The following is a 23874-nucleotide window of genomic DNA, read 5'->3' on the forward strand; positions in this document are numbered from 1 at the left end:
GAAGGAAAGGAAGAAAGAAAGAAAGAAAGAAAGAAAGAACGAAAGAAAGAAAGAAAGAAAGAAAGAAAGAAAGAAAGAAAGAAAGAAAGAAAGAAGAAAGAAAGAAGGAAGGAAGGAAGGAAGGAAAGAAGGAAAAAAAGAAAGAAAGAGAAAGAAAGAAAGAAAGGAAGGAAGGAAGGAAGAAAGAAAGAAAGAGAAAGAAAAGAGAGAGAAAGAAAGAAAAAGAAAGAAAGAAAGAAGCTCTTCAGTGTCAAGCAGGGGAAAGGAACCTAAGAGGTGTGTCACAGTAACAAGGAAAACACAGGATAGTGTATCCTATGGTCTTAGACACAGGAACTAGGGTGTAATAGTAAAAAAAATACTGGGTTAAAATGGGCTACTGAATGGTCTGTTACTTGACCAACAGAATATGGAAACAATATATTGGACTTCAAGATATAGTTAGTGACTATTGCATTCCACCTTTAAAAGAGTTAGTGAAACATAATTGTAGAGAATTGTAGGTTGCTGTCAAGAAACAAGTTTCTGACATACCTTAGTTGATAAAAATTTGGCTGACGAGGTGTCCTTTCCAAATGATAGTGTCAATTAGAGGCCAAACCCAGTCTATTGGGGTATCATTTTTATCTCCACCATTTTTCTGTCTACTCCTGATTTAGCTCTGTGACTCCTAACAGGCCATAGGTTATGTCATTGCCCATTGACTCAATAAAGAAAATTATTGCTGAAAGCATAAATTGCCATAAGTCATGCATATGATGAGAGGTGTCATCCATTTCTTTCTTATAATGGTTCGGAGTTCCCACAAGAATGACCCATTAGTAATTGAATTTCCCCTGTTTTCACTTCTTTTTTTTTCTGGAGGACTCCTGTTCCTTGTGCTCTAGTGCTGTCAGAACTGTGTAGCTGTGTTGATATAAATGTGTGCTACCCTCTTTTTGGTCTCCTTTGTCATCTGATTAGTCTTTAAAGATGCAGCACTCTCTTTCCACCTCATAAGGCCCTCAGTTCCTGAGAACTCATCTTGATCTCATTCAGGAGAAAAGTAAATCCCTCAAGATCTTCCTTATGATGCTTACAGTCCATGCTGCTCTTCCCATGTGAAGAACTGACGTCAGTCAAATTTGGCCCAATCAAGAAATCAAAGAATAACAAAAGAATTGCAATGCATTAATAAAGACCTAGATCCATCCAGACTTTAAGATCCTCTTCCAAAAGTCCAGTGGGATACCTGATTCATCATCCTGTCTTTCACCAGCCAAGGAATGCAGAGCGTCCTGGTCAAGAGGCAAAGCTGGTCAGACAAGCTTCCGCCAGTAAGTTCATTTCTTCTTCCATATTTCTGTCATTCTCTTCTTCTCCGCCTCTCTCCAACTCTCACCAACTTGTGATGAATAATTACTTTGAAAACAGGCATTATCTTTATCAAGACGTCCTCAAATATCAGTTCTTTTAGATCCTTCATGGCTCTGTCCACCAACTTTGGGACAAGTAAAGGAAGAATTAAAGAAAAACATACTGTTCCTTTCTTTTTGATCAGTGTGTTTATGTAAGAATACTCTTTTACTCCAGGCCTCCTGTGGAATAGGAAATTAAACAAATTCTTACCTACTTCCTAATTACATTCAGCATGCTTCCTGTCTTTCCCCAGTCTCAGTCTTATGTAGGATAAGATTGTCCTTTGGAAAGGACAAACCAGCTCTGCATACTTGCATACAAGATACTTTCTTAGCTGAAGATTTTCAGAACCATTTTCTCTGATAAGGGTGTAAGGTGGGTGAAGGAGATCACTCTCCAGATCCAATGAGAGAAGGGCAGGCCAGGGGTGGGAGTAGAAATACATAGATTCCAAGTCTCTGTCATTGTGAGCAATTAATTAACTTGACACATGGAAGAAGCCTGAGTTGGGAAATTTCAGAAGTAGGAAAATAATACTTGGCTTTAGTTTTCGTCCATACAAAAACCAGGTTTGATAAAAGATGATCAACCAGTACATCACGGTAAATATATGTGCTGAATTTAGCTCAGGAGATATGGAGCTAGAGATGTAGAGCCACGTAAGTGGCCAACCTGAAAAATCATTTTAGTCATTGTGTGAATAACACATAGAATTAAGGAAAGGGAGAAGTCTGAGAAATTGGACCTTGGAATTTTCTCTTTGCTTTGGTGGGTAAGATGTGTTAAAATTTAAGATTGATTAGAAAATGACATGAATGTCGCCCATGTTTTTTCAATGATCATAACTATCTTGCAGATACCTACACACAATTTTAACCAACTGAGAACATAAGGATTCATGCTGTGGATGTGGGAGCAGAAACGGTTTGAAAACTTGTTAATATTTTCTTGAGAAAAAATTTGTTAGCCTGCTTGATTGCGAATTCTGTGCTGCTGCTGTGGCTTTTTTGTATTACAAATGTGATTCTTTATTTATCTCAGTGTAACATAAATTGAGATGTTGATGGGTTTTTCCAAGAAAATAAATGAGTCATAATAAACCTTTTCTTGTATAAGGATGAATGTGAAGTACATAGTCATTATTTGAACAGGATGTTCCTTTAAAAAGCAATTGAGATTGTACAACGCAAGGCTGTTTGGATGGCAACTTAGCGTGTCTGGCAAAAGGAGTTTGTTCCTTCTGTTTCTCAACAATACTTTCAGAGGTCACAAAATTAAATCCTTTGGATGACATACACCCCATCCTTGTTTCTCTATTTAGATTTAGTGACTGGACTCTCAATGTTTTATCCCTGTCTGAATTTCTTGGCAGACTGTGCTTTAACCTTTTATGTGTGGTTTGTTAAATTTAAAATTTTAGAAAGTGACATACTAAATAATAAAAAGATAGATTCAGGGTAGAAGACTTTTATATAAAAATGTATAAACAGATATAAAATGCTTTTTAAATTTCAATACAGTATGTGTGTCTGTACATATTGATTCCTAATTATGGTGATTATGGTAAATTATTACTAGCAATAATTTTTTTGGTTTTGACATGGTCTCACTCTATCACCAAGGCTGCAGTGCAGTGGCACAATCATAGCTCACTGCAGCCTCAAACTCTTGAGCTCAAGTGATCCTCCTGACTCAGGTAGGACTACAGGTGTGAGCCACCATACTGGGCTTTAGAAAGAATTCTAGTGAAAGAAAAGATGCCATGGTTAAGTGTTTTTTTTTTTTTTTTTTTTTAGATAGAGTTTTGCTCTTGTCACTCAGGCTAGAGTGCAATGGCACAGTCTTAGCTCACTGCAACCTCCACCTCTCAGGTTCAAGCGATTCTCTTGCCTCAGCCTCCCAAGTAGCTGGGCTTATAGGTGCCCCTCACTATGCTCGGTTAATTTTTGTATTTTTAGTAGAGACAAGGTTTCACCATGTTGGCCAAGCTGGTCTCGAACTCCTGACCTCAGGTGATTCGCCCGCCTCGGCCTCCCAGAGTGTTGGGATTATAGGTGTAAGCCATCATGTCTGGCCTTAAGTATTTTTTATTACCTCAAATCAATATAATTTCACCATGGAAAATTTGAAAACTATGGAAAAATTTTAAATAGAAGAGAAATGCCACCTACATTTCCACTATATATATACATATATATATACACACACATATATATATACACATATATATACACATATATATACACATATATATACACATATATACATATATATACACATATATACATATATATACACATATATATATAAGTCCATATTGTCATTTTTGTACTTTTAATTTCTCTGCACAGAGCACATAATAAAACTGAATTATTTTTTAAATATACGGACTATTACACTATATACTTCTTAGTGGTAAATACATTTGGGCAGCAGTTCCAAAACTAGAAACTTACCAAAATAGGCTCACGGCATCCTTTCTACACTTACTATTCTTCGTCTATGGTTGAGTAAGTGAAAACATCTAGGAACAGAGCAGTCAGGAAACAATGATATGCTATAATTATAACTTTAGAGAATTTTATTTTCAAAATCAGAAACTTCATAGGATTTTGTTTTCAAAATAAAAAGTAATACAAAGAGAATAGAGTTACATTTGCTTTCATTTTTTCATTGGTTAGTTGTTCAGGTTGATCGTTTGACTTCTTGTTGTTCTCATTTTCTCATAAGTTAAATTAGCCATCTGTCTGCCACAAAGGTTTTGTGTAAGAATCACCTAAAAATTGTAAAGATTTTTGAGCTGCTAAAGACAAAGAGAATTAAAAAGCATTGTAATGCCTCTAAGCCATGTTGATTTGATATGAACTAAAATTAGTGACCTAGATTTTCTTCTCTCATTTCATAGATCCTAATTTATTTAGAGCACTGTATTGTATTATTTCATGAAAATACCAAGATGCATTTAAATTTTTCTAGATATGGAAATAACTCTAAGGGAAACAAGTAATTTAGATGAATTTACTAAACACGTGGTGGAACTAACAAAATGAAACACAGAGTTGATTGTTCTATAATCAGTACAAAGCGGAGTGTAGCTGTCTATCCATCACTTTGTCATTTCAATTGTATCTCTATAGCACATAAGAAAAATGTATTGGTTTACACTGTGTAACTATAATATCATAATAACACTTTGTATGTGTATGGATTCTAGATTTACAATATGACCTTGGGCAAAATCTAAAAGAAGGCTATAGATCAAAGAGGAAATATTAACGCTACAGAAATGGAAAAGATTTCAAATTAATATGATAAAACATACTCTGTTAGAGAAATCGATAGACACACTGCAAAATAATTCCAATGCAGGGAAGGAAAGATATAAGAGAAGCTCAGTGCTGGGTAGAGCAGGAAAAGAAATATCAAGGACCAACAGGAAAATTACAGGGTTAGAAACAGTCATATTTTAGCAGATCAAAACAAGAAAGTTAAAACAACATTCAAATATTTATTCTTTTTCATTCACATTCTAATTATTGAAACATAATAAGTGAGTACTTTTTGGCAACTGATAGACCAACAAAAATAATGATTTAGATTCTCTATAATTTTTCTGTTGTGTATCTGGCCAAGAATTCTGTAAATATATTACAATATAATACTAATACAATATGATAAATAGGTATGCTAATATAATGTGAGATGCCCTCTAAAACATAATAGATACCCATACCAGAAGGTTAAAAAATATGTGTAGAGAACACACTGGGATTAGCTTTAGAACTGACATTTTTCCTCTCCTTTACAGGACCAAGATGTCAGCAATGACTCCAGCGTTCTAAAAATCCAGAAGATCACTACAAACAAATGAAAAACTAAAAGTCTGGTAGAACAGAGGCCATGACTGGGTGAGCCGCACTGTCTCGCTTCCAAAAATTTACTCTTCATGAAAAATGAAAATCATCGTTTCTCAAAAGCAACGTAAGTAGCTAAATTAGTTAAAATTGCCTTTATTTATTATTTTTAGAAGTTACATATTTTAAATCTCTAATTTCTTCTCCATTCCTCCCAGCATTTTTTAACTTTTTCATAATTTCATTTTATAACCAAGTTCTAAGAAAATTTGTTTTCCAAAACCAATTGCGTAATATACACAAGTGATATTATAACATGAGAAATCATCTGATAAGGACCTTTATGGTAGGATCATTTCATGAGCTTTGAGTTAATACTGAAGTTTAAATTTGGTTTGATCTTACAATTTCTGAGCCTTTTATTTCATATGTAAGTATAGTGACAAGAGTTTAAACAGTTACTGTATTGAATACATCTGATCATGTAACTCAACATATTTAACATACATCTGGATCATAATAGTTACAAAAATCAATTTTATTTTCTTCATGTTCTGAAATATTCCGATTACTCCACCATTAAATCTCAGTCTAATAATGCTTTATGTGGAGATAATAGTCATGTCCTATAAGAATTTTTATTTTTTGTTGATTACTATTGAGTGTGTTGAAAGTTGCTGGAATTCTAATTTCCAGGCAAGTGAAATGTTACTGTGCATTCAGATTATTCTAGACACACAATCTTAATCTGTGTATAGTCGGGGCTCAATATGTAGACTGGAGGAAGGCGTGGGCAGGGCAAAGGAAGGTGGCTGAGAACACAATTCGTAGAACACAGATATGCCGTCCTTTTCATCACTTCCTATTCTGTATGTCATGCACTCTCCTTTGGGGTCAAGGATAAATATCTTGCTCCTATATATACTGTTCACTGGACTATAATCTTGAAAGAAATTTGATGCTAGCATGTAATTAGCTCCCGTGAATATTTGTTGAATGAATGGCTGCATGAACAAATGAGTGTTATTAATTAATTGCTTGGTTACTTGGTTACTAACATGGAGGAGTTCTTTTCTGCTAATCATTTCCAGCTCATTTTCAACAGTCTCTTTCTTCTTCCATACAAATGTCAAAATTTCAACTTTGCCTTTGCTCAGTAACAAAAGATATCTGGGTTTCTTTAATAGACTACTACTCTTTTAAACTTATTAATTTTAGTAAATAGATAATGCTCATTAGAAAAATTAAAATACAAGTAATAGTCTCACTTTGAAAGTACCAAGTGACATTTTAATTTTGGTATTTAATCTTTACCCACTGGGTCTCTCTAAGAAGCACTGTCACAGATTACAAGATAAATGAAGTAAGTAGCATTTCTTTGCCAGAAAAGGACAGTCTGGACTGTACACAGATTTTAGCAGCACTTAGTGCTTTTCCCATCTTCATTCTATTTCACAAGAAGAAAAATCAAAGAGACAAGCAAACAGCAACTCTGTAAATGACTGCCAACTGTTACTGGAAGGAAATGGGTCATCTTTTTCACCAAATAGGTGACTGACAAATAACCAGCAAATTCCATTGCTTGGACTCATCATGCACCCAAAGTTATTGGCCTATTCACTACAACAATGGAGAGAGGACAGCTTGTAACAAAGGCAACATTTTGGAAAAGATGTCAAAATTAAAGAACTCTTCATAGTAATTTGAATACACCTTGAGAAGAGAGTGGATAATATTTTTCTCCTCTTTTTTTTTTTTTTTTTTTTTTTTTTTGAGTAGAGTTTCGTTCTTTTGGCCCAGGCTGGAGTGGAATGGCACGATCTCAGCTCACTGCAACCTCTGCCTGCCAGGTTCAAGTGATTCTCCTTCCTCAGCCTCCCAAGTAGCTGGGATTACAGGCATGCACCACCACACCCAACTAATTTTGTATTTTTAGCAGAGATAGGGTTTCAACATGTTGGCCAGGCTGGTCTTGAACTCCTGACCTCAGGTGATCTGCCTGCCTCAGCCTCCCAAAGTGCTCATCTTCTTAAAGTTAAAATAACATATCAGAAAGATCTGTTTAATATTTTTAAAGACAAATTCAGCCTTAAACTGAATTTCAATTTTATTTTATTTTTAATTTTTTTATTTTCATAGGTTTTTGAGGAACGGGTGGTGTTTGGTTACATGAGTAAGTTCTTTAGTGGTGATTTGAGAGATTTTAGTGTACCCATCACCCGAGCAGCATACACTAAACCCAATTTGTAGTCTTTTATCCTTCACCTCCTTCCCACCATTTTCCCCTGAGTCCCCAATGTCCATTGTATCATTCTTATGCCTTTGCGTCCTCATAGCTTAGCTTCTACTTATGAGTGAGAACATCCTGTGTTTGGTTTTCCATTTCTGAGCTATTTCACTTAGAATAATAGTCTCCAATCCTATCCACGTTGCTGCAAATATCATTCATTCATTCTGTTTTATGGCTGAATAGTATATTCCATCATATATATCTATATAATCATATATATAATCATATATAATCACATATATATATCATATATGTGATATATCATATATGATCATATATAATATCATATATATATATATCATAGTTTATCCACTCCTTGATTGATGGGCATTTGGACTGATTCCACATTTTTTCAATTGCAAATTGGGCTGCTATAAAAATACATGCACAAGTATCTTTTTTTTAATAATGACTTCTTTTCCTCTAGATCGATACCCAGTAGTAGAATTGATAAATCAAATGGTAGATCTACTTTTAGTTCTTCAAGGAATCTCCACACTGTTTTCCATAGTGGTTGCACTAGTTCGCATTCCTACCAGCAGTGTAGAAGTCTTCCCTTTTCGCTGCATCCATGCCAACATGTATGGTTTTCAGATTTTTTTAAAATTATTGCTATTCTTGCAGGAGTAAGGTGGATTGCATTGTGGTTTTGATTTGCATTTCCCTGATCATTAGTGATGTTAAGCATTTTTTACATGTTTGTGGGCTATTTGTATATCTTCTTTGGAGAATTGTCTATTCATGCCTTAACCCACTTTTTGATGGGATTGTTTGTTTTTTTCTTGCTGACTTGTTTGAGTTCATCGTAGAGTGTGGAGAATACACTTTCTTCTTTTTAAAGATAAAATAAAATAGCAGAAAGATCTGTTTAATATTTTTAAAGACAAATGCATCCTTAAACTGAATTTCAATTTTAATAAAATAAATATTTGACATAGATATTGTAATATTTGTGAGTAAATTGTATCTTATGGTGCTGAAATGCCTTTTTCTCCATTATTCTTATTAAAATCCATTGTTTCCAGGATGAATTCAACAGGTCATGGGCCTAATGAATCAAAATAAGTAACATTTTCTTTCTGATCTTTTTTTTAATGATTATTTTAGGTTCAGGAGATTCACTTATAGGTTTGTTACATGGATAAATTGCGTGTCAATGAGGTTTAGTGTACATATGCTCTTGTCACCCAGGAAGTGAGTGTAGTAACCCATCAGTAGCCTTCCAACCCGCACCCATCTTCCACACTCCCCATCAAGCAGTCTCCAGTGTCTACTGATCCCATCTTTGTGTCCATGTGTATTCAATATTTAGCTCCCACTTTCAAGAGAGAACATGTAATGTTTGGTTTTCTATTTCTGTGTTAATTTGCTTAGGATAATGGCCTCCAGCTGTATCCATGTTTCTGCAAAGAACATGATTTCATTCTTTTTTATGGCTGCATAGTTTTCCATGGTGTATATGTACATTTTTATTTTTAGCCAGTCCACCATTGGTGGGAACTTTGGAGGATTCCCTGTATTTGCAATTATGAATTGTGCTGCAATAAACATATGAGTACATGTGTGTTTTTGGTAGAATGATTTATTTTCCTTTGAGTATACAACCACTAGTGAAATTGCTGAGTTAAATGGTAGCTCTGTGTTAAGGTTTTTGAGAAATCTCCAAACTGCCTTCCATAGTGCCTGCATTAATTCACATTCCCACCAGCAGTGCATAAGTGTTCCATTTTTTCCACTACCTCACTATCATCTGTTGTTTTTTGGCTTTTTAATAATAGCCATTCTTACCGATATGAGATGACATGTTATTGGTTTTCATTTCTGTAATAATTATTAATGATAAGAATTTTTTTTATATATTTGTTGGCCACGTGTATGTTTTCTTTTGAAAAGTGTCTGTTCATGCCCTTTGCCCAAATTTTAATGGGGTTATTTGTTTTTTATTTGTTGAATTGTTTAAGTTCCTTATCAATTCTGGATATTAGACCTTTCTCAGATGCATAGCTTGTGAATATTTTCTCCCACTCTGTAGGTTTGTGACTCTATTGATAGTTTCTTTTGCTGTGCAGAAGCTCATTAGTTTAATTAGATCCCACTAGTCAATTTTTGTTTTTGTAGCAATTGCTTTTGAGGACTTACGAATAAATTATTTGCCAGGGCTGATGTTCAGATTGGTGTTTCCTAGGTTTTCTAGAGTTTTTATAGTTTTGCTGACCTTTTTTATTTTTTTTAACAGCTGCTGAGAAAGAGAGAGGGGTGAAAGGAGAGAGAGAGAGAGAGAGAGAGAGAGAGAGAGAGAGAGAGATAATGTAATTAACGTCTAATAAGAATGTAGGCGTCATCAAGTTATAACTCCATTCTTTCTACAACATCCTTTGTGGGTATGTATAGAGGAAGACTAAATATTTTCAGAAATGGCGATTTTACTACTTCTTTATCTCCTTTATAAACATAGATTCCTCATCCTGAAATTTTATTTAATTATTTTAAAATGATCTCTGCTCTGCCAGACACTGAATTATCTTTGTCTAATTTTGCGGGGTTTTTTTGTTGTTGTTGTTTTGTTTTGTTTTGTTTTTGCTTTGTCTTATTTCTTATTCCTCTTCAGTAGGAAGATACTCAAATACATAACCACTTGGTCAGTTCTTTTGTTTTCTTCTTGTTGAATTTGAAAGGTTTTTTTTTTCTTTTTTGGTATATTTTAGATAACAGTTCTTTATCAGATATGTGTCTTGCAAATATTTTTTCCTAGTCTGTGGATTCTTCTCTTACTTTCTTGTAGTTCCGGTTTATTATTTCTTTCATTGATTCTGCCTTTGGTGGTGTATCTGCAAATTTATTGCTATACTCAAGGTCATCTAGTTTTTCTCCTGTTATTTTCTAACAGTTTTATGGTTTTGCATTTTATATTTGTGATCAATAACGCATTAATTTTGATGAAGAATGCAAAGTTTGTTTCTAGATTCATCTTCTTTTTTTTTTTTTTTTTTTTCGCACTTGAATATCCAGTTGTTCCAGCACCATTTTTGGAAAAGGCTACCTTTTTGGGTTGTATTGATTTTGTTCCTTCATCAAAGATCAGTTGACTGTACTTTTGTGGGTCTAAGTTCTCTATTCTCTTCCATTGATCTATTTGGCTCTTCTTTCACCAATAAAACACTATGTTGATTACTGGAGCGCCATAGTAGTCAGTCTTGAATTCAGTAGTGTCAGTCGTCCATCTTTGATCTATTTCAATATTGAATTGGTTACTCTGGGTTTTTTGCCCCTCCATATAAACTTTATAATCAGTTTGTCAATATTCATAAAATAACATGTTGGGATTTTGATTGGTATTGCATTGAATCTATATATCAAGTTGAGAAGAACTGATATCTTGACAATATTGAATCTTCATGGCCATTAACATGAAATATCTCTCCATTTATTTAAATCTTTGATTGGTTCATCAGACTTTTGCAGTTTTTTCTATGTATAAATCCTATACATATTTTATTAGGTTTATACCAAAATATATCATTTTGGGGATTTTAATGTAAATGATGTTTTTTATTTCAATTTCATTTGTTCATTGATTATATATAGGAAAGTGAATGACTTTTGTATATTAACCTTGTATCCTTCAATCTTGCTGTAAGTTATTTTTATTTCTAGGAGATTTGCTGTTGTTGCTGATTTTCGGGGTTTTTCTGCAGAGATGATCCTGTCATCACTGCACAAAGACTGTTTCATTTTTTCCTTCCCAATTATACTTTTTATTTCCTTTCCTTGTTTTCTTGTATTAACTAGATCTTCCAATAGATTTTTAAGCTAGTGTGGGCACATGATTATTGATTATCATTTTTTAACTGGTTATGTTTTTCTATAATGTTTTTAAAAAGCAAGTACAGAGAAGATGCAAATTCGTTTCTAATTAATGGATAGAACTTCTACATTTCCAATAATATTGCAGGCAAATCTTAGAGTAATCAAATAAAGTAATACTGGAATTCATCCAGCAGAAAGCAATAATATTTAAATTGCTAAAAAGAGGCAGAGAAAATTTAATAAAACTATCAAAATATTAGAACACCTTAATAATTAAATATTCTCTTCTATACAAATCAGTGGCATATAAAATTTAGGATAGACAAATAACTTGTCTTAAGTAGAAATTTAATCTCAACAACATGTAACACATACCTCTTCCCCAACTTAAAATTAGAGTTTAAAGAAAACACAATATAAAAATAAATTTAAATTACAAATAAATAATTAAAAAATATATAGTGGCAAAGGAAGACTCAATAAATTATACTATGATTATTGGTTTATCATTTTGAAAATTCAAATTAGCAAAATCACAAAAGAAGTAAAAACAACAATATGAAAAGGATATGTGATATATGATACAACCATATGACGTTCTGGAAAAAGTAAAACTATGGAGACAGAAAAAGGAATACTGGTTGCTAATGGTTGAGGGGAGACAGGGATGAATACAGAGCACAAGCCATTTTATGGCTGTGAAACTACTCTGCATGATACCATGATGGTGGGTACATGTCATTATACATTTGTCAAAACCTATTTCATGTACAACACTAGGAATGAACCCAAATACAAACTAGCAACCTTGGTCGATGATGTGTAAAAGTAGGTTCATCCTATTGTAACAAATGCATCATTCTAGTGAAGGATCTTGATAACGGGGAAAGCTGTGTATTTGGTATATGGGAAACCTGCAGGGGCTATATGGGAGATCTCTGTGCCTTCTGCTCAATTTTGTTGTGAACCTAAAACTGCTAAAAAAAAATAAAGTCTAGTTATAGGAATTAAGAATTAAAATAAATAATGCAGACTTTTCTAGAATATCACATCTGAAGATTCTATATTTTATTTAAAATTATCTAATTTATTCTTTATACCAAACCTGTAAAACGTTTTAAAATATACTGCAAATATTGATTTAGTATTAAAAATAATTTCAAGCAATTGTTATTCTGAAAAATTTACTTATTCCCAAATTTGGAGAATATTTTCAGTCAAAACTTTTAAAGTGAATTTTGTAAAATTGTACCTAGTTGTACAGCTGGAACACTCTTTTATATGTAAGGAAATGTAAAATTTCAAACAATGTCGACTTTTTGACTAAAGGGAAGTCACTGTAAGGAAAATGGCTTTGAAAACCGTGGAAGACAATCTTCTATGCTTTTTATATAGGAAAGAGAAATGAAGACTCATAAGAACTGAAATTATTTTGTCACAAAAATGCCAAAGTAGAAAACCAATTTGTTCAGGAAGCACTATGAAAAATACTGCTAACCTCTACTTCCTGAAAACAGGATAACATAATTGAATTTCTATGGATAGCTACAGTACATTTATTTATCTTTTCATGTTCTCCAAAGGCTTCTCCCATTTTCATTTTTAAGTCTAGTTTAGAATATCCTTTTAAGTGTCTTTTTTATCAAGTGTCTACTTTAAATTCCAGGAAAAAATGGTTGAAAACTTTATTTTTCATTCTTCTTTATTCAATTCTGTTAACTAAATAAGCAGATCATGACTTTTCTTGTGTTTGTACAATTTCCCTATACATTCTTTCAAGTAAACACACTTATTCTCTTCAGACATGGGCTGTGTATGCTAGTCACCATTTTGTCCTCACAGGAAAATGCTCAACTTGTGTTCTTTGATCAAAAGTTTTGGGACATGTGGTCTTAACCAAAATACTTTTTCTTCACTGAACACAATGTGTACTTTAATATAATAATATATGTTTGATTCTTAAAGCTAAACTACAGTGTGCAGTTTTTCCTAATGACTTTTATTTCACAGAACATTAAAACTTAAAATTTTTAAACATTTAAAAATAATTATAGATTCACAGGAAGTTGCAGTAGAGTGTACTGAGATTACCCCTCTACTCTTTATCTAGTTTGCCCAAATGGTTATACCTTACAAAATTACAGAAAAATATCAAAGCTCCCTGGCGAATTGGCATTGGTGGAGCATGTTTGTTTAAGGAGGTGTGTATTTCTCTGTCAATCCATCACATGTAGAGTTCTATAACCAACACAGTAAAGACACAAAACCAGTTCATCACCACAAAGTTATCCCTCATGATACCATTTTAAACATCCGCCTTTACCATCCCCACCTAACTCTCACTATTCCTAAACTCTGGCAAACACTAAGCTTTTAGTGATCAGTGCTTCAAATGGACTTTTTCTATCTGTTGAAATGTCCAAGAGTGCAGTTGCTGGTTCCTATGATAAGTGATGTTTAATTTTTAAGAAACTGATAAAATTTTCCAGGCTGACCGATCCATTTTACATTTTCATCAGCAATGTATAGGAGATCCAGTTTTTCCACATCCTGTATTTTTTATTTTAACTATTCTGCTAGGAGTGTAATGACATCTCATGGCGTTCATAATTTACATTCTTCTTAATGGGCACTGATGTTGATTATCTTTTTATGTGCTTATTTTCCGTCTGGATATGCTCTTTGCAGAAGCATTAGTTTATGATTTTTGCTCATTTTAATTGAACTGTTTATTTGTTTGTCTCTATTGTAGAATTTTTAGAGTTCTTTATATGTTCTAGATATAAGTCCTTTGACAAATGCGTGGTTTGCAAATATTTTCTTAAAGTCTACAATTTGTCATTATATCCTTCTGAACAGCCTTGCAGAATAAATCATCTTAATTTGAATGATGTCCAGATTGTTACTTTTTTTCTTCTTATATTCTTATAGGTGGGTTTGTGTCTAAGAAATATTCACATAGCCTTACATCCCAAATATTTTCTCCTATGTTATTTTATTTATTTATTTATTTATTTATTTATTTATTTATTTGAGACAGAGTCCTGCTGTCACCCAGGCTGGAGTGCAGTGGCGTGATTTTGGCTCACTGCAACCTCCGTCTCTCAGGTTCAAGCGATTCTCATGTCTCAGTCTCCCAAGTAGCTGGGGTCATAGGCATGTGCCACCACAGCTGGCTAATTTTTATTTATTTATTTATTTTTAGTAGAGACGGAGTTTTGCCATGCTGGCCAGGCTGGTTTGGAACTCCTGACCTCGAACAATACACTTCGACCTCCCAAAGTGCTGGGATTATAGGTTCTATGTTATCTTCTAAAGGTGTTATAAGTTCACATTTTGCAGTTAACCTGTTTTCCATTTTGAGTGAATTTTTGTATAAACTTTAAAGCTTGTTAAAGGCTTGTTTTTTTTATAATTTTTATGTATCCATATATGTATTTATGTATGTATGTACGTATGTATGGAAGTATTTTTGTCTATAGATGTCCAATGTTTCAGCACCATTTAATGAAAAAGCTGTCCTTCCTTTATTCAGTTGCTTCTCTACCTTTTTTAAAAAAATCAGTTGATTGAACTTTATAAAAACAACTTCTGGATTCTCTATTGTTTCACTAATCTATGTATCTATCCCTATGCCAATAATACACAATCTTGATTTCTATAGTTACATAATAAGTCTTGAAACTTAGTATTATTCCTATCACATTTTCCCTTGATTTTCAAAATTGTTTTAACTATTCTAGCATTTATGTTTCCAACTAAATTTTAGAATAATCTTGTCTATATCTACAGAAAAATCTTGCTTGGGTTTTCATAGGAATAGCATAAAACATTATATCTACATCTATCTACATATATGTGCATATATTAATAACTATATATAATGCATTAAAAAATGAAGACAACATCTTTGTTTGGATTTTTCAATTTGTAAACAAGTTTTATCTTTTCATTTATTTAGGTCTTCTTTTATTTATTCCATTGGTGTTTTGGAGTTTACAAATTAGCATATAAGTCCTGTACATATTCTGATAGATTTATAAACTAACAATTTCATCTTTGTTAAGAAAGTTTAAATGGTGTTTTATTTTTAATTTCTTTCCATTACAAGGTAACTACGTGTATTAGTCCGTTCTCACACTGCAATAAAGAACTACCTGGGACCCAGTAATTTATGAAGAAGAGGGTTTTAATTGACTCACAGTTCTGCAGGCTTAACAGGAAGCATGACTTGGAGGCCTCGGGAAACTTACAATCATGGCAGAAGGTGAAGGGGAAACAAGCACTTCTTACCACGGCAGAGCAGGAGAGAGAGAGAGAGAGTGAGGGGGGAATACACTTTTAAACCATCAGATCCCATGAGAACTCCTTCACTATCAAGAGATCAGCATGGGGAAATCGGTCCCTATCATCCAATCACCTCCCATCATGCCCCTCTTTCAATATGTGGGGATTACAATTCCACATGAGATGTGGATTGGGGCCAGGAGCCAAACCATATCACTACAGAACCTTTGTCTTCTCTCCTACAAGTCTTTAGAGTAGTCCTGGCTTTGAGAGAATGAGACAGACACAAAGTTGGCTTAATATGTTTTTAAATGGGATTCTTTTTTAAGAAGATGAAATCTCCCAAGTGCTATAGTAATGAATCATCATCTAATGTCTATATTTACTGGAAGAGTTACCATGTCAGCCAAACAGAGCCATCTGGACCAATTCTTACTGTTATATTAAGTAGCATTTTGGAAACTATTTATAGAAATTGGGTCTATGACTTTTTCTGCCATTGATCTCTTTTGAGGAATATGTTCCTAGCAGAGAGTCTCATTTATATTGTTTTTTTGAAAAACTCTGAGTTGCATTTAGCACTGGAATGGAGAAAGTTTTGTGAAACTAAATCTTAAAACTAGAAACCTAAGCAGATATAAAAACTTTATTTATTTATTTTTTTCTTAAGACTTGGAGACTTACAGTTATTTGCAAGTACCACATAAAATACTTGTTCCGGCCGGGCGTGGTGGCTCACGCCTGTAATCCCAGCACTTTGGGAGGCCGAGGCGGGCGGATCACGAGGTCAGGAGATCAAGACCATCCTGGCTAACATGGTGAAACCCCGTCTCTACTAAAAATACAAAAAAAATTAGCCAGGCGTGGTAGCGGGCGCCTGTAGTCCCAGCTACCTGGGAGGCTGAGGCAGGAGAATGGCGTGAACCCGGGAGGCGGAGCTTGCAGTGAGCCAAGACAGAGCCACTGCAGTCCAGCCTGGGCGAAAGAGCGAGACTCTGTCTCAAAAAAAAAAAAAAAAAAAAAACTTGTTCCTTGCTTTCAGTTATGTGAATAAAGTGGATTGAAATGTTGCAATTAGGATTTACTGTGAATAGGTACAATAAACATGTTATGTCATGGTACAATTAGAGAGGAATCACAGTTCTATAGAGATTAGAACCTAAGTTTTTCTTGAAAAGGCAAAAAGCAGACAACTAATCACAATTATCCTTGAATATCCTGTAAATTGTCTATAAAGTTAAATAGCATAGTGTAGCATGTATCTCTCTAGTGATCCTTCTGAATTTCAAGGTTGTCAACCATTACCCTGGACTAAAATTAAGAACAAAAGAAAAGTCTATATGCCGAGGTCTGGGAACTGAAGCCGTTCTGCCTCTAGGGAACTCTCTGGCCTAACCATGGTGCTGATATGAATAAAAGATTTATACTATTAAACATATATAACATAATAAATAATTATTTTTAGGTGAAAAGTGAAAAAGATATTGGATCAACATCTTAGAGACCAATTAAATTTTGAAATCAACCTGATAGTTCCATAAATATATTTTTGATTCTGGACCCAGTCTAAAAATTAAAAGAAGATAAAGAGCTAATTCTTTTCAATGCCTTAAATTTTGTCTTAACCTTTTCTAGAACTGGAGATGCATATTGTTATAGAACAGATTCATTTTTTTATCTCATTCCCCAGCATACGTTAATAAATATTTATTAATATATTATTTTCATACATGTCTAAAACAATATTAATTGTAACGGAATGGAAATTAGCTCTGCATATAAATAAAATTTTCTAGTATAATCTGGATATCTGATCAATATTTTGTCTCTCTACTGATCTCTCTATCTGAAATATATTTTTAAGCTTTTAGCCATAAAATGTTCTATCTGGTTGCACAGGCTTACAAGTATGTTTTTTTTAAAATAACTTTGCCTTAGACACAGTTCTATCATTTCAACCATTTGCTGCACCCATATACATAAGAATATTTTTCTGTTCAGATTAAACTAATAAAACTAAAAAGTGATATAAATACCATATGGTACACTCAGTGACATGCATGGTATTTTTAAAGGAAGGGATATGACACTTTGGGGGATTCCTCTTATGACTTCTAAAGATTATTCTAATGGTGTAGATATAGAATCCTCTGGTCAATTGGATAAATGCCAAGCATTTAAACTCTGCTTGCTAATATTTACATAGCTACCTTTCAGCCAGCGGGCCACTTGCTTTCCTTTTATGTATTGAGAACTAGAGCTGCCCTGTGTTCCCCTGAAATTGCGGAATAAACTTATTAAAATGAATGATAATGCATTCGCTGGTAAATTTCACAAAGTGTGAAGGACACAAATATATGAACAAAATAAAATTATGTATTATTGAGAAATGGTTTATATACTTCCAGAGATATATTGCTCCTGTACTTATGTAGAAGTAGAAATAAAGATTAGCTCTTTAACATATTAATTGATGTTTCCAGTTTGGGACCGTGAAACATCCCAGAAACAGCTGATTGCTTTTTTAAAAAAGTCCTCTGTCTTTGTTCAGCTAGTCCTACAATAGTAACTTACTCATAGTACACATTTATCATATGCTAGCAGTCTGTCCAGAATAACTTCGTTTGAAGAAAAGATAGGTCAAGTGCACATTCCAGGGAATATTTGCAAAATAATATGTATTTTCTTGCAAAATTTTAAACAATTAGCTCTTAAGGTCACTTTCATATCACCCAGCTCTGCTAGTTTTGTTCCCCTTCTAACATATTTTAAAAGTATGCTTGTTTTAAAAGTCAAATAAATAAGATCTATGATAAAAATACAAGATAATAGTTGTGACAAACTATTCTGAAGAAGTAAGTTTCTACTCTAGGTGCGGGCAAGATCCTTCTAATCAAAGAGGAGTTCTGTGTTTATCTCTTTTGAATAATTGTGCTTTAGTTTCTTCATTTATCTATCTATTATTACTGATTGCCTGGAAGTGTACAGAAAGTCATGTCAAGGACTAAAGCAAACTCCTCTCAAAATATTCTTCTTGAATAAACTAGATTTTAATATTAGTTAATATTTATGTGTACGATGTGTTAAGCATTTTAGTATGAGCTTGTTTCATGGCCAAAATAATACTGTGAGAGTATGAGATATCATGTCTTCATTGTAGAAATGGAAAAATTAATCTGTGAGCAAGGTTGTGCAGGTTTATTAAAGTTGAATAACCACCAATTGCTAGAGTGAGAATTAGAAATCAGGATTGTCGGCCGGGCGCGGTGGCTCACGCCTGTAATCCCAGCACTTTGGGAGGCCGAGGCGGGCGGATCACGAGGTCAGGAGATCGAGACCATCCCGGCTAAAACGGTGAAACCCCGTCTCTACTAAAAATACAAAAAATGAGCCGGGCGTAGTGGCGGGCGCCTGTAGTCCCAGCTACTCCGGAGGCTGAAGCAGGAGAATGGCGTGAACCCGGGAGGCGGAGCTTGCAGTGAGCCGAGATCCCGCCACTGCACTCCAGCCTGGGCGACAGAGCGAGACTCCGTCTCAAAAAAAAAAAAAAAAAAAAAAAAAAGAAATCAGGATTGTCTGAGTCCAGAGTCTATGATCTAAACCACTCATAAAGACTGCTTTTTTACACTTATATTTCCTTTCAATGGGTTATTAAAGTGAAAGCTAAGGTCTCACTAAACTATTGCTTAACAGATATTCTATTAAGATAATTCATAGCCTTTTACAAAGACAAGACTAAAATACGATTAGCAGAAAGTCTTCTGAACAACTTGGCCTTGAGCCAACCCAAGTTTCAGAGACAATGTGAATGATTCAGCCGGTGCCTTATAACTGAGATCCAGAAATAGCTCTGAATCCTACAAAGAACTAAAGAAGTATATTCTCTAGCAGACAATGAGCAATAATGAGCTTCTGATGAGCCATATATAAATTTTTAAAATATTACAATATTTTTAGCCTATTTTAAGATATAAACATGTTTCCAAAAATACAGATTGTGCTTCTGTTTATTGATTTATTATCATTTGGTGGTCTATTCAAAGATATTCACAGAGTCAATAAATTCTGATTATTTTTTCAAGTTAAAAAGCAAAGGGATTTTTTAGCAAAAACACAGCCTCCCAGAGTACAGGGAAATGATATTAAGATTACCTAATAGGGTTATTGAGGAAGTATGTGTTACAGAAACATGTACTTCTGCAATTCTTGAGCAAGAGCTACTGAAGCCAACCAACAAGAAACTCTTGTCAGGAACCTGGCATTATGTGAACTTATCCAGTATGCTTCTTGGAGATCACTTGACTCTAAATATAAGTGACAAACATCACCTTGTGTTTTCTGAGCAGGACGGAAAGGTGCAAGCTAAAATGTGTTGTTATGATGCTAGTTGGCTTTGAAATTACTTTTCAAACAAAGATCGCTTTTGATGAGACCTAATCTGATATTCATGCACAGAAAGTGAAGATATAGCAAGTATACTTAAAGAAAACCATGACTTAGAAAGCAGAACAGTTATATTTATGTTTGTAGAGACTAGGAGAGATAATTATCTTAGAAGTGATTTAAATGCACAGAAAGTAAGTGCCCAATTTCCAAAGAAGAATTAGAGATCTCTAAAGCCTTTATTAGAAAATCCTTGTGTTCTTTTTATGAAATGTCAGTGAAATGAGAGATTGTCATGACGTTAAACCAGAATAAGAATTTAAGGAATGGAGAAAAGCAATGATGAAAAAAAGTATGTATCAACGTTTGATCTGAAATTTTCCTCTTCTTTGGAAAATGTCAAATTTTATGTGCATATTACTTGAGCTGAAATGTAAAATCTTAAGGTTTATGCTGAAGCTTCCTATGACTCTAATGAAAATTTAGAATGTGAATAAGAACTTTTTAGAAATACTTTCTATTGTTATAGCTTCAATAAATTCTAAAAATTGTTTTTACATAACATCCATGGCAAGAAAAAATGTCTATACTAATCATAACATTCTTCTTCCATACTTCAGTATGAGAATACAACCATATTATTTTCTAATATTAAGGTCTATTTATTGATCCTCAGCAGCATTATTACAGTTTTCTAATCTTTATTAAAATCACCCTGTGCACAAAAACTGTTCTGACATTTAACTAATTTCCAAACATCTTAAACCATTCAAATATAGTGTCCATTGAGTATAATTTGACTTTTACAAAACTCAGTTGAAAATTCCTTGTTTGCCTATTTGTTTTACTTGTTTACATTTGTTTTTCTATCATATGCTATATTTTCTCTATTGTGTAAACCAGGGAACAGAGTTTGCAGACTTTGGTTACCACACGCATACCTAGGATCCAACACAATAGCATTTCTGAATTTATACCAGAATCAATACACTAAAAAGTATCTAGTGCACAGTAGGCACTCAATAAATGCTTGTGAAAATGGAAAAATATTTACATATAAATTTAGCAGTTAAGGTAGAAACTTATTAATTAGTGAAGTTCTCAATTCTTCAGATAATTTTGGAAGGGTATTGTCAAGTGATTTATCCTGATTTTATTCTCCTTGCAATCATTTCTCCCTATTCTCCAGTTCTAGGATTCACATAATTTCTCTCTGACACAAATCTGTCCTTTTAGCTCATCACATATTTTTCAAATAAGTTGTAAATCATTTTACTTATTTTATTGTCTGTCAATTTATTTCTCTAGTAGTCTCAATTTTTTTACTTGGCCTCACTGTGCACATACATAACAGCACATTCTCAACCCCTATCCCTGCTTAAAAAAACTGGTTACAGTGTGATTTGGATTTGAAGCAGTGGATAATATACATGCAACCGAAACATTTTTCCTTTTCCTTCTAGCTACAGTAAAGTCAAGGTCTATACACCAAAGATAGAAAAAATGAGAAAAATAAATGGAAAGAATGAAGCAAAAAGAGAGCCATGAAAGATACAAAGAGATGTATTTAGAAAGTAGAAGGATCAAGACACTGTGTGCCTCAGAAAAAAAGAAGGTAAGCAGCAGTCGACTATATTTTTTAATTGAGATTTTCTTATCTAATTGGAATTATCCATGTAAGGAAACGAATCAGGAACTTGGTTGCCAGATGCAGAGAAGTAGATAAGATTTTCCTCTAGCTATATGCTTGTGCTTTTGGCCTGATTAGCAGCGGATTGAATGATGGCCCTCCTCAAAAGGTATGTTCATATTCTAATCCCTGAAAAATGTAAATGTGACCTTGTTTAGAAAAAATCTTCTTTGCAGATATAATTAAGCTAAAGATTTTGAGATGGAATAATTCAGAGGAGGAGAAGATATGAAGCAGAAGAGAAGAATCCCATGTGAAGAAGGGTACAATGATTGAAGTTACACAGGCGCAAGTTGAAAAGGCTGAAGCCATCAGAATGTGGAAGAGGTAAGGAAGGATTCTACCCTACAGCCTTCAAAGGGAGCATGACTTTGCTGACACCTTGATTTTGGACTTCTGGCCTTGAGAACTGTAATATAATAAATTTCTGTTGTTTTAAGCTATCAAGTTTATTGCTATTTGTTAAGAGAGCAGTAGGAAACTAACAGTATGTATATTCCTTCTTTAGTGACAGTTACGAAGTAAAAAAAAAACAAGAGAATATGGAAACTGCTATATACTAATGATTTTTTTCTGCCCATATCCATCTGAAGCAGTTCCTATTTTTGAAGGTTCCTTTCCCTAACACACACACACACACACACACACACTACCACCACCACCACCACACCAGAATTAAATAAAATACCACACAATGAAAGAGACTAGAGGTTGAGAGGGCTTCTATAATTTAAAATGTGGACATTGCAGCATCATCTTTGAACCCACTTGATATATACCAATTCAAAATGGAAAATTGTTGAAAACCTATTGTGCTACGTTAAATGTAAAAGACCATTTATGAATGATGCATGGGTTCTCCATACAGTAAAGCAAGTCACTTCATATATTTCTGCTTGGAAAGGAAACAGAACACCATTAATGCTACAAAAAATGAGATGGTGATAAATAATGCTTGAGATACTCTTTGGTCCATCAGCTGCTTTCAAGAAAGTAGAAATGATTGCAAAGTTTAGTATGAGCTTGACAAAATATATATACAGATTACATTTTCTTAAGTTAATAAACTTGGAGTTCTTATTTTTCTTCTAATTCTATGTGCAGGTTCATCCAGAATCAGCTTGGCTATAGCTGGAAGCAATTAAGAATATGCACAAGGGCCAGGAGCGGTGGCTCATGCCTGTAATCCCAACACTTTGGGAGGCTGAGGTGGGTGGATCAGGAGGTCAGGAATTCAAGACCACCCTGGCCAAGATGGTGAAACCCCGACTCTACTAAAAATACAAAAATTAGCCAGGCATGGTGGCAGGCTCCAGTAATCCCAGCTACTTGGGAGGCTGAGACAGAGAATTTCTTGAACCCAGGAGACAGAAGTTGCAGTGAGCTGAGATCGCGCCACTGCACTCCAGCTGGGCGACAGAGCGAGACTCTGTCCCAAATAAATAAATAAATAAATAATAAAAAATAAAAATAAAAGAATATGCACAAAGATTTGAAACTCTAGGAAATTGTTTTTATCTCTAATAGATTTCAGCGAAGTTAAATTGTGCGTTGGTCACAAGGGAAAACTTGTCATGGTGACTCATGTAAATTACTAAAATTGCTTTCATTTGGGAAATAGGCCTCATTAGTCCTAAATTTTACCTTATGATTATGTCAGGTAGCCAAACATCATTGCTTATACTAAAATAAAGCTCTAGGTACTATTTCTTTTAATAAAAAACCCAATGATCCTAGCACATTACTTTAGTTATAATCTCAAAACTAGTACCATATATAAGGAAAGCCAATGGTATTACTTATACCTCCTTCTCATGAAATCATCATTAAAGGCACATTTATAGATAATGGGAACTGAGTCAAGATGTTCAGCCTGACAATCCACTGCTATCTCCTGGGCCCAGATGCCCACCCTTTAGCTCTTCAGGAGAAAGAAAAATATGCACTCACTACTGATATGCAAAACTGCCTATTAGCTTATAAGCTTCCAGAACGCATCTTTTTCAAATAGCAGGTAACATATTCTTACAACTTTCTGGGAAGAGAAAAATAATCAAGAGCTTTAATGCTTATCTAGTACAATTTCTTCATTTAATTAATAGAGAAACTAGAGAGCTTGAGGGTTAAATTAATGTCTCGGACCTCAAGTTCCAAAGTAAAATCAA

The 23874-nt window shown here is 33.9% G+C and overlaps 2 long non-coding RNA genes across 3 annotated transcripts in view; one reads left to right on the forward strand and one right to left on the reverse strand.

Moving 5' to 3' along the window:
- Positions 1-23874, reverse strand: part of LOC105369468 (uncharacterized) — a 383452-nt gene that overhangs the window by 3972 nt on the left and 355606 nt on the right. The gene's annotated exons all lie outside the window — the stretch shown is intronic.
- LOC105369469 (uncharacterized) lies at positions 1254-22923 on the forward strand. 2 transcript variants are annotated; one of them, XR_007062872.1, is made up of 5 exons: positions 1254-1316; positions 5207-5379; positions 21483-21634; positions 21886-22036; positions 22814-22923. It is a non-coding gene; the product is annotated as an uncharacterized LOC105369469 (long non-coding RNA). The 2 variants fall into 2 exon arrangements; XR_001748355.2 differs by lacking the exons at positions 1254-1316; positions 5207-5379 and adding an exon at positions 19933-20371.

This window comes from Homo sapiens, chromosome 11 (assembly GCF_000001405.40).
Source record: "Homo sapiens chromosome 11, GRCh38.p14 Primary Assembly".
Taxonomy (NCBI): domain Eukaryota; kingdom Metazoa; phylum Chordata; class Mammalia; order Primates; family Hominidae; genus Homo; species Homo sapiens.